The 12,273-nt window shown below is 35.9% G+C and overlaps 1 protein-coding gene across 6 annotated transcripts in view, besides 1 other annotated feature; it reads right to left on the bottom strand.

Moving 5' to 3' along the window:
- The window catches only part of LGR5 (leucine rich repeat containing G protein-coupled receptor 5), a 147,182-nt gene that overhangs the window by 59,254 nt on the left and 75,655 nt on the right, over window positions 1-12,273 (bottom strand). For all 6 annotated transcript variants that reach the window (NR_110596.2, XM_047429800.1, NM_003667.4 and 3 more), the window contains exon 3: window positions 2,580-2,651. Coding sequence is in view for 5 of the 6 variants with exons in the window: in XM_047429800.1 (XP_047285756.1) it covers window positions 2,580-2,651 (72 nt within the window). In the remaining variant the exon portion in view is untranslated. The remainder of the gene's footprint in view (window positions 1-2,579; window positions 2,652-12,273) is intronic.
- Window positions 5,421-5,922: an enhancer, noted in NCBI's record as "NANOG hESC enhancer chr12:71914915-71915416 (GRCh37/hg19 assembly coordinates)". NCBI's record gives its function as "activates a minimal SCP1, AML or CMV promoter by ChIP-STARR-seq in primed H9 embryonic stem cells {active_cell/tissue: H9 hESC(primed)}" and the evidence as "EXISTENCE:reporter gene assay evidence [ECO:0000049][PMID:30033119]".

Here is a 12,273-nt window from a genome sequence, read left to right as displayed (position 1 = left end):
CATAATGTCCACCCATGTGACTTAACATATGGGATCCCTGCAACTGGGACTCCTTCTGTCTTTACAAGCTCTTCTCCAAATGCTCTGTAGCTTCTCCTGAATGCTCAAGTACTAACCTGCTTGGAGCTACCTGTTCATCCCAGGTCCTTTCTGACTCTGTGTTGCTGTACGTATTGTCCCCTCAGTCGGCCATCTTATTTGGGTGGCTAATTCCTAGTTGTGCTTCAAGATTCAGCTCCTGGGTCATCTCTGGGAAAGCCTCTCTCCTAGGAAGCCAAATCTGAGCCACCAGATGGGACGACATCAACTCCCCAACCTCTGTAGTTTCACAGTACCCTGCACAGATATCTAGATACACTTTCCACAAAAATCAGAAGTGATCTCTGTTTTTCTGTCTTCGTCCCACTATCTTGGTCCCACAGTCTGTCACTAGATTATAAACTCTTCAAGGGCATGAACAATATTTATTGATCTTTATATTTCTAGTAATAATTTGTTTAATGCTAATTTGAGTATCACACGCACTAGGCTTTGCTGAACCCTTGACTGTACAGGAGACAGGAAACATTGGTTAGTAGGAGTGGATAAAAGAGAGGGTCTAAATACCATTTTTTTTTTTCTGATGGAAAGGGTACATTTTAATAGTTAGCATGAGAAATAATCTATGCTTCTCATTTTTGAATCATATTAATCCACTCCACTCTGGAGTCTTCAGGTAAAATGCACCTTAAGAAGCAGCAAAGTGTGTGCAGGAGCATTCTGGGTAAAAAGCCTCTTTGTAGGTAAAAGTACATATCAGATATGAAGGCACAACTTTTTTGTTTAATACACAATAGATATTCCATTAATAAACATACAGCATTGGGTCAATATCATACAAAAATGAAGAAAAAGTTGAAAAATCTAGAACTCCCTTATTCTCTCTAGATCATCAGCCTGAATCATTAATTCAACAAATATTTATTGAATGTCTACTCTAAGTAAGGAAGTGTTCTAGGAGCTGGGGATATACCAGTGACCAAGACAGATGACATCTCTAATTTCATAGATCTTTAGTGCATTGTGGGAAACAAACATTCTCTAGTAATGCACTAGTGAATACAATTAGAAATATATAATGGTATAACTATTAATATAAAATATAAAAATATGATAGAAAAATTAGTATAAGACTTGTATAATTCATATTTAAGAATTCAAGGATTTAAAATTATAATTATATGTAATTATAATAACTAGCTTATATATAATTCATATATATCCATATTAATTTAAATGTATTCATTTTACTCATTTATAATTAAAGTATAATTTGATGTCTGGAGATACACACACACTGGCTTATATATCCAATATACACTTTGTTAAGTGAATTAAAATACTTGATTCTAGTAAAATTTATTTCACAAGTATCCCAAATACTTAGTGGTACATAGCTCAACATGGGAAAAAAAATCACTTTAGTTGTCTTATCTAAACTTGACTCTCACGATACATTTTGAATGGTTCCAAATTTTTTTGGGGGGTTTGTGAAACTATATGCATCGGAGCTGGTGCTACAACTCTGAATTTTACCACATAAGGAATTACTATTAGGATTTGGCAACATGACAACTTAAAAGCATTTCTTCTTAGTAGCAAAAAAAAAAAGAAAGAAAAGAAAAAAATTCAAAGAGAGGAAGGGAAACCAAACCCAATCTCCTAAGGCGATCAAATAACGGTTCTGCTGTTGAATTTCACTTTTAACAAAATATTAAATTGAATAAACTGTTTTTTTAACCTATGTGTCTTTTAGGTCACTGAAATGTAATTTTCAATAAGCAGAAATATATCAAAGTTAATAACTTTTATGTCAAAGAAAGAAAATCAGGATTTTTTTTCTGAGATAAACTTTTCCTTGCATTATCTGTTTTATCTACGTAAGTGCCTCTTTTTTCTACACAGAACAAACTAAAAGAAAATTAAACAATGGGTACCAGAAGAAGGAAGTATTCAATAATAATGATTTTTCTGATAAACAAATTGAGAAATTGGACATTAAATAATGAGAAACCTCATATTTACAATTTTCAATGAATTAACAAATAAACAACTGTTCAGTGTATCTGCTCTACACTAGGCTTTACCCTATCTATTCACAGGTGGAACACAAACTTGGTTTTTTTAGCTGATGCTTATTCACTCCCCTTTGAAACCGGTTTGAAGCTGTGGTCTCATTATGTCAGCATCACAGTGATTTATTCATCCTGTCATCAAAATGCTTTTGAAGACACGCACCCCAATTTCATAACACAAAGGGAAAGGGAAATACTCTTTTAAAAGTCTGAGTTGATAAGGTAGTTATTTAAAGGCAAAAATTTTAGATATTAAAATTAGAAAAGGAGAGATGAATTTTTTTTCACATACAAATTTAGCCAAGTGTGATATGGCTGTATGGTACCAATGAAGTAAACTTGAATTTAGATGAATTATCCCATGGATTTAAATAGTGTATTAGAGACACTCAGCTTTTACAAGTTAATTAGCAGCCATTTGACACTAAAATCAGAAATATATCCAACAACACTCAGTTTACTTACAGAACTTTAAGACTGTAAAGGCCAGTGAATGCTCCCTTGGGAATGTATGTCAGAGCGTTTCCCGCAAGACGTCTGTGGGTTTCAATGGAGAGGAGAGAGAGTGAGCATACCTCTTCATGTGGAAGTCATTTAGTTGTTAAAAAAATGCAATACAACTATGTTTAAACCACAAATATCAAAAGCAACTGTAAACAACTTTGTTTTGTTATATTTTGCAAAAAATATCTATAAATTTCTAATTAAAATGTTGGCAAAAGTGCCTAAAAAGAAATGTAATAAATTACCTACTTTACAATAAACAATTTAATAGCTTATACCATATGTACATATATATAAAACTGTCCTTTAAACAATTTTTAAGCAAATGCTAACACCATATGATAATTTGCAAAAAATTGTAATGTCAAAATGTGACTGTCACGAGTTTTACAACTATTCTTTGTAAGATAAAATAGATTAGATAAACATTAGAATATTTCTGTTGCAACTATACCTCAAAATACCCAACTTTCTTACTAAATTTGTCAAATAAGAATGTAGACTATCACAATCAATTTTTTCTAAACTCTACCAGAAAAGGATAGAGTACCTTAATTTAACATGATTTAATAGAGCAATGCTTAAAAAAATTGAAAACAAAGAGAGATTAGTATGAAGGACATTAACATGGGTTATTTAATGGAAAATTCTGACATTATTAACTGGTAAAATTTTAGAAGTTTACTTTATAATATTTTTCTAAGTAGAAGATAGCCAAGGTGAAAAATTGTGCAAAAGACCAACAAGATGTGGTACCTGAAACATGTGATTCAGTATTTTTTTGGCAGCCACATCAAAGCCATAACCTCATATACTAAAGGACAAAATGAAAAATGCAAAAACAACAATGTGACTCCAAAGAGCACAGTATTTTGAGGAGCTGATCATATCTGAGACTGGTGAGTAGAACTGGGACTCAATATACCTTTGCCCTTTTTTCTTTTTCTTTTTTTTCTTTTTTAGAGATGGTTTATTGCCAAGGCTGGCCTTGAACTCCTAGGCTCAAGCAATCCTCCTGCGTCACCCTCCTGAGTAGCTGGAACTACAGGGGTGTGCCATAGTACCCAGCCCCCTGCTGGGTACTATGATGGAGATGGGGATTTGGGGATAAGGATTTTGTTGGTCCAGTTGACTAGTGCTTATTTCTGAAGGACCTAAGAGCCTCAAATGTATACCTTTGATACTATCTTTAAAGGAGAGAGAATTCAGTCACAGAGATCCACTGACTGGACTGAAATAAGCCATTTCTTATATAACTTTAAATGTGTGTCCCATTGCCACTTCACACCACTGATAATATACTATAAATGAATATTTAAAGAAATGCTACGCTTATCAAATGAATAGAACTTCTGAGTAGTATTTGTGGTATGTGTATTTAAAGCATTATTTACTCAATGCAAATGAAATAAAATTAAAATACAACACACTTTAAAAAATTATGCTTAAAAAAATTAGCAACATAAGAAGGTCCTAGGACCTCTCCAAGAGGCTCTGCTTATCTTGGGTCTGCAGCACTAACTTGCTTTGTGCTGTTGAATTAGTTAATATTGCTGAGCTTTGCTTTCCCACTGATTACAAGAAATGTTAAGATAAAATGTCTTCTTGGGTCCCTTCCAGATCCAAAACTCCACGATTTCCCTACCTTGTCTTGTAGTCATTTGTGTTTGTGCCTGTTTTTCCTTCTCTTGACAGATATAATCTTTTAAAAGACTTGGATAGCTACTGTATTGTATTCCTCCTACCTATCTCGTGGTACCTAAAGAAGTGTTTTTTCAAGTGATAAATAATTTAGTGGCTGGTCTAAAATTAAGAAAAAAAAATAGAGTAGACAAACAGCAGAGTGAATTGGCTGAAGTATTGTTTTATAAAAACCTTTGTTTCCAAATATATTTGTGAAAATGGATTGGGGGAGGAAATTTGTTTCTTCCTATACATGGTCAGAAAGGTTTGAGAGCTGCTAGCCTAAGCATGGTGTTGGCACTTAATAAATATGTGTTATTAACATGTAATTCAGCATAATATTTGACCAGGGCAAAGGTATTTTATTTCTTTGTTTCCTATAAAACTGTCTTATCAGAAAACTCTCTTTAGACACTAACTCTGACCTTCCATCTTGTCTCCCCATATTCAGTCTCGACCTACTCCCACCCCTTCCATATTCACTGATGGTCTTTATAAAGACAACTCTGACCATATTACTGCCCTATTCGAAAACTCTCTGTCAGTTTTCATGCCAGGTAAATAGAAATGAAAAGTCCTCAGACTCTTTTCCGAGAATTCCCTGATCCCTAGTGGGTGCTAGAACTGAACCAGACTATGAGGTTTGCTTTTTTTAGACATGCCCTCCACATTCCCCCCTCTAGCCCTTTGTTCCACCTAAAATGCTCTCCTTTCACTCCCTGTTTTTCAAAGCAACCTCAGTGCTACCAAAGGACTTCAAAGTAGAGAGATTGACCATCAGTTTGGAAAGCATTTGGACAGCTCAGTTTCTGATGGTCAGTGTCTCTACTTTGAACTCCTTTGGTAGCACTTTGTGTCTTACTATGAATTTTATAGTCTACCTTGTGTTATAGTGTGTACTTGTCTTATGACACATGAAAGACTGGGAACTACTCAAACCTGGATATTCTCTTGGTATCCGTATAGGGCCTTGAATACTGTCTGAAAGTAGGTTGCCCCAGTAGTGCCTGACTAATCAGTTGAGTAGAGACTACTGACTGTCCCCCAGTATCCATTCTCCCCTTGTAGAATAATTTCCCGACCCAGAATTTTAGCAGATTACATGGCCACCCAGCTACAGTCCGATTTTCCAGTCTTCCTTGCATCTAAACCTGATTAAGTGACTAAACTCAACTGTGATCAAAAGTGATATGTGAAACACCTGTATCACCTCCTTAAAAAGACATTGCTTGTTCTTAATTTCTTCAATTTCCCCTTCCTGCAGAAGTGGTACTGGTGAGACAACATCAACAATTCTGGTTTGGAGAACCTTCCACAGAAGGCAAAACAAGAACAACAAAAAACCAGAAGGAACCCAGGCTGCTGGATGACCCTGTGGAACTGAGCTGTCCCAAAGCCCTGAAGTCTGTTTTGGATGAATAATCGAATCAGGATGGACCCCCGCGGTTTCCTCTGAAAGTCAAGGATTGAAGGATTATTTAGCTGTCTGGGCTGGTAAACCTCCACTGCAGGAGAGAAAGGTATGGTATCATACTTGCCTAGATATTGTCCCCAATGCACCATGTTTGCAAAGCTGTTTCAATGTACAATATTCTCTGTCTCTCTGCTTTATTTCCCTTTCGTCTTCCTATTGTTAGCTTGCAATTGGTGCACCTGAACTATCACAGACATCGCATGTTGCTGTTTTCCTAAAAGTCAGTGTAAGTTGGGAAGAAATGTTATTCTTTCAAGCTATCTTTTTTTCTGGTCTTGGCTATGCATATTTTTACTGTGGTAAAATATACGTGAAACAATATTTACTATTTTAAACATTTGTATGTGTAGATTCAGTAGCATTTTTAAAATTTTCCTCCCACACTAGCCTGCCTGTCTAGAGATTTTTCTTTTTTATTATACTTTAAGTTCTGGGGTACATGTGCACAATGTGCAGGTTTGTTACACAGGTATACATGTGCTGTGTTGGTTTGCTGCACTCATCAACTCGTTATTTACATTAGGTATTTCTCCTAATGCTATCCCTCCCCCCGTCCCCCATTCCCCGACAGGCCCCGGTGTGTGATGTTCCCCTCCCTGTGTCCATCTGTTCTCACTGTTCAACTCCCACTTATGAGTGAGAACATGCGTTGTTTGATTTTCTCTTCTTGTGTTACTTTGCTGAGAATGATGGTTTCCAGTTTCATCTATGTCCCTGCAAAGGACATAAACTCATCCTTTTTTATGGCTGCGTAGTATTCTGATTCAGTAGCATTATATGTATTCACAATGTAGTCTAACCATCACCACTATCTATACCCAAATTTTTGATTATCCCCAACAAAATCTCCATACCTGATTAGCAATATCCCTCCATTCCCCTTATTTCCAGCCCCTGGTAATTTCTATTCTACATCCTCTGTCTATGAACTTGCTTTTTCTAGGTATCTCATATTAGTGGAATCATATAATGTTTTCTTTTTGTATCTGACTTATTTCACTAAGCATAATATTTTCAGTGTCCAACCATGTTACACCATATATCAAAATTGCTTTCCTTTTTGTGATAGAATAATGTACCATTGTAGGTATATACTGCATTTTGTTTATCCCTTCATCTGTTAATTGAAAGTTGTGTTTTTCCATCTTTTGGCTCTTGTGAACAGTGATGCTATGAATATTAGTGTACAAATATCTGTTCAAGTCCCTGGATTCCATTCCTTTGGGTATATATCTAGTAGTGGAATTCTTGGGTCAAATGGTGGTTCTATGCATAACCATTGGAAAAATGATTACACTTTTATATATTCCCACTAATAATGCACCAGGGTTATAATTCCTCCACATCTGAAGCTATTTTTTTAATATCCCATGGTATTTATTGAGGGCCTGCTCTGTGCTGGTGCCACTTTATTATTATTATTATTTTTTATATTTATTTATTATTATTATTTTTTTGAAACAGGGTCTCACTCTGTCACCCAGGCTACAGTGTAGTGGCTCAAGCTTGGCTCACTGCAACCTTGCCTCCCAAGCTCAAGCAATCTTCCTGCCTCAGCCCCACAAGTAGCTGGGACTACAGGCACATGACACCATGCCTGGCTAATTTTTGTGGTTTTTTTTGTTTTTTGTTTTTTGTTTTTTTTGGTAGAGACAGGGTTTCACCATGTTGTCCAGGCTGGTCTCAAATTCCTGAACTCAAGCGATTCACCGCCTCAGCCTCCCAAAGTGTTAGGATTACAGGCATGAGCCACCGTGCCCGGCTTTGTGTTAGTACCACTTTAGGTGACAGTGATACAGCAGTGAATACCAGGATAAAGCCCCTGACCTCATGGAGCTGGTATTCTAATGTGACAAGATAGTCATTAAATAAAAACTCAAGTGAATAATATAACATGAAAAATGCTCTGAAAAAAGCAAAATCAAGGCAAAGGGATAGAGAGCAATGGGTGGTGGTTGTGGCGGTGACGTGCTATTATTTCAGATAAGATGGTCAGAAAAATCTCTGCTGAGTAGGCATTTCAGCAGATGCCTGCACCATGCAGGTATCGATATAAAGACAACAGTAGGACAAAATTCCTGAGGTAGAGAGTGCCTGGTGTGGTCCAGAAGCTGCAAGGAGGCGAGCATGGCTGGAGTGGAATAACAGGAGGAGGATGGCAGGAGGTAAGGTTGGAGAGGTGTCCAGGCCCATCCCATAAAGGTCTTTGGAAGGACTTCAGATCAGAGAGTAATGTGATCAGATCTGTGTTTTAGAAATGTCCTTCTGATGGGACCCTTTTGTTATATATTTATTTAACTTTTAAGTCCAGGGTACATATGCAGGTTTGTTATATAGGTAAACTTGTGTAATGGGGGTTTGTTGTACAGATTATTTCATCACCCAGGTATCAAGCCTAGTACCCATTAGTTATTTTTCCGGATCCTTTGCCTCCTCCCATCCTCTGATAGGCCCCAGTGTGTGTTGTTTTTCTCTATGTGTCCATGTGTTCTCATCATTTAGCTCCCACTTATAAGACTATGTGGTACCTGGTTTTCTGTTCCTGTGTTAGTTCACTGAGGATAATGGCCTCCATCCATGTTTCTGCAAAGGACATGATCTTGTTCTTTTTTATGGCTGAATAATATTCCATGGTGTGTATGTACCACATTTTCTTTATCCAGTCTACCTCTGATGGGGATTTAGGTTGATTTCATGTCTTTGGTATTGCGAATCGTGCTGCAATGAGCATATGCATTCATGTGTCTTTATAATAGAATGATTTATATTCCTTTGGGTATATACCCAGTAATGTATTGCTGGGTCGAATGGTAGTTCTGTTTTTAGGTCTTTGAGGAATAGCCACACTGTCTTCACAATGGTTGCGCTAATTTTCACTCCCACCAACTGTGTATAAGCATTCCTTTTTCTCCACGATCTTGCCAGCAACTGTTATGTTTTGACTTTTTAATTACAGGCATTCTGACTGGTGTGAGATGGTATCTCATTGTGGTTTTGATTTGCATTTCTCTAATGATCAGTAATGCTGAGCTTTTTTTTCATATACTTGTTGGCTGCATGTATGTCTTCTTTTGAAAAGTGTCTGTTTGCTCACTTTTTAATTTTTTGTTTTTTTCTTGTAAATTTGTTTAAGTTTCTTATAGATGCTGGATATTAGATCTTTGTTAGATGCATAGTTTGCCAAAATTTTCAATGGGACCCTTTTAAAGGGGAGAATAGACCAGGGGGTCAAGAGTGGAAGCGCAGGAGGGACTAAAGTCTCCAGATGGGAGATGGTGGGATAGTGTAGCAGTGGCAGAGGTGGCATGAAGTGGTGGGATTTGGTGTGGAAGAAAAGTCCAAGCTGATGAGCCACTAGGGTCGAGGTGGAATGTAGGCAGTCAAAGAGGAGCAACGTTTTATACTTATGGTTACATTATGTATAATCCACATGCATTTGATTAGTTATCCAAAATGCGATGTATAATGTATAATACTGAAGCAAATGAAATGGGCATGATGTGATACAAAAAAGTTGCTTTTTGAATTAAGACAGATTCAGGTTTGGTTGACCATGATAGACAGCTTAATTGATCAGACTCAACTGACTCATAACTGTTATTTTGGTCAAAATGTCCCTAACTATACTGGTCACAGTCAGGACTTCAACAGTGCATTTGTGAGCTCTAAAACATAGCCTTCAACTAGGTGTTTATCAGCTCTCACTGCTGTGACAGTATCATCAAGTAGCTGGATGGTTTTTGAAACAGTGACTTTGGAAATGAAGAGGAGAAAGTAAAAACTTTATTTTTTTAAATTAGTTTAAATTATTGTTAGGATGAATGCCTTTCTGTTACATTTCCTGAAACTCACTTCACACAAATTGGTTTTCTTTTTTGGGCAGGGACTTTCAGTCCCCTGAGTCTGTATTCAGAACTAACCTGTGGAACCACTGACCTGTGTTATCAGGGCAGTCTGTCTCAAAGCAAAGGAATTTATGATCTGCTATTGGCTGTTTGCTGGGCTAGTGGCAGATCTGTCTCATTGACAAAAACAACAATTTAAGGAAATCATTCCCCTTTTATTTCTTTACCATGTGGGGTGGCTTTAGTACTTTTGAAACCGAAATGCATACAAACATAGGAATAAAACAGGCTTTCAAATGTGTTCACAATACACAAATAGTAAGAAACACACACACCTTTGTTGTGATGATTTGAACTACAACAGTTTGCTAAACAACTATTTTCCAACCCTAGAGAGCAACATAACATTTGGTCAGAAGTTTTTTTTTTTTTTTAATGCTGTTTCTAAAATTATTATTTCATGGCAATGTCCCTTTCATTATCTTCACTTCTGTAACAAGATGTAACTCGATTAAAAAAAACTTGTCTTTCTACATAAAATATTTTAAAAAGTTTTTATCCCTTAAATAATTGCTCCAAATGTGACTCATATTGTCCCACCATTGTTAGTTTTACTGACTTAATTGCTATTAAAAGAAAAAACCCATTAAGTTACAAGAGAAAATAGACACATTCCTTTTTCGATAAATCAAACAGGTAGATGTTTTGGTGCTGTAAAAACCATCTACAGTATTTTGGAGAATGTACAATTTTCTTTGAATTGTTAAAGTAATTTGAATCTTTAAAGTAATATAAAAGATTTTATTTTATATTTTGTAGCTTCCTTTTTAAAATGGAGGTATGAGAGCAAAGCAATTGTATATAGGTCTAATTTTTCCTCTCTAAACATAGGGAGAGGTATGTGTACAAGATCTGGGGAGTACTGAGGATGGAAGCGGGCATTTGACCTTGCATTTGAGACCCTTGGGAAATTATTGTGCAGGAAACCATGGTCCGACAGGGGTCCACTTGGCTGAGTAGCATTTTCAGAGTTAAGCGAGGGGGCCTGGCTAGATCTACCAGACCTCCTGGGTCAGTTCTTGCACAAATTTCTTCTTGAGTTCTAATTTAGTTATTTTTTTCTTTCCCTTTTTGATTTTCTTTCTTCTCACCATTAACTTGCTGTGAGACAACACAAGTTACTTAACTTTCCTGGGCCTTATTTCCCTTAAATTAAAAAAAATGAAACGGTTCTTTCATGAAGGTCTTTTTCTACGCTCAAATTTAAAAAAAAATTACACTTGCATTTCCTACTGTTATTTTTTCCTCCCTCATTCTCCTTTTCCTCCCTTTTTCTTCTTGTTTATTGTAAGATTACTTTATTATAACATGTCATTAACATTGTAAAAAGCACTCTCTCATAATTTATATCATAGAGATAGGTCAGGGATTATTATTGTCCACATTTTGTAGATGAAGACACCAAAGCTCCAAAAGGTTTTATGGAAAGTGAAAAACATTGTTGCTTTCCTTATTTATTTAAATGTAGTCTAGTCTTCTTATGGAGCATGGAAGCCATGTAATAGCAGTGCTACTTAAATAATTGGAGTAGAATGAACTTGAACATGATAATTCTTGTGATTTAAAAGAAAACATTTCATCAGACTACTTAGTAAATTCATGCTGGCTCCTAGAAATTGCCGCTTTATTTTCTAACTTTTACAAAGCACACGAGAGTGAGAGGGCATACAGTCTATAAATGTTAAATTAATTTCTTCTAGAAATTTGATGAGGGCTATCAGGCTTAATGGTAATAGTTTTCCCTCTTTTTCCATTCTAAAAATCTGGATGATATTTGCCTATTTCCAGTTTTCTGGTACTGTTTTCCTTCTCTGTGATTTTCCAATATTGATTTCAGCAGTTCTGTGACTATTTCTGAATTTTCCCACTCTTTGGAGTTGTAATTTACCTGAACAATTAACTGCTGTTAAACTATCATTTAAATGTAAAATTTCTGAAAAGTCTTTTATTCTTTTATAAAGTATCAAAATATTCTCATTTGGAAAAATATTGTCCTAAATAAAGTTAGCCAAAACTATGATAATATAATTAGTGACTCTCAAAAGATACATAAGTGATGAAACCAGTATAATAGTCTATTAAAATTGATATTCATGATTCAATTCAATTAATTAATTTGCTTTTGTTGCTTTTAGGGCCAACTACATTTATAGGTTTGGCTTTGGTTTATCAATACAGGAGCCAAGTATCTGAGTCATATCAAGAATTAGAAATATGATGAAACTTATAGTAAGATGTAATTTGCCTCAACTTGCAGTAATGCATGACAGCAGCAATTGACTGAGCCCACCATGGTAGGTTTTCTTTTACAAGGTGCCCCTGCTGGTCAGATGGGACCAGATACGTAAGAGCTTAACCTTCTTGTGTTCATCTTTGGTAAGATTTGCAGAAGCCAATTTAGTGCCTTGGATATAAGAATCATGACATTTCATCAACTAATTTTCTCCCCATTTGAGAAAAAATATCTTTCCTAATACTCCTTGAAAAATTGCAATTTTCAAAAACTGTATCTACCCCCTTCCATTGTTCTAGCCAATGCCTCAAGTGATGCCGTCATTGTGTTAAGCATATCCAATTTGTCAAATCCAGCCAA

This window comes from Homo sapiens, chromosome 12 (assembly GCF_000001405.40).
Source record: "Homo sapiens chromosome 12, GRCh38.p14 Primary Assembly".
Taxonomy (NCBI): Eukaryota; Metazoa; Chordata; class Mammalia; order Primates; family Hominidae; genus Homo; species Homo sapiens.
The sequence above is the reverse complement of the archived record's forward strand: the minus strand, read 5'-3'. Positions and strand labels throughout refer to the sequence as shown.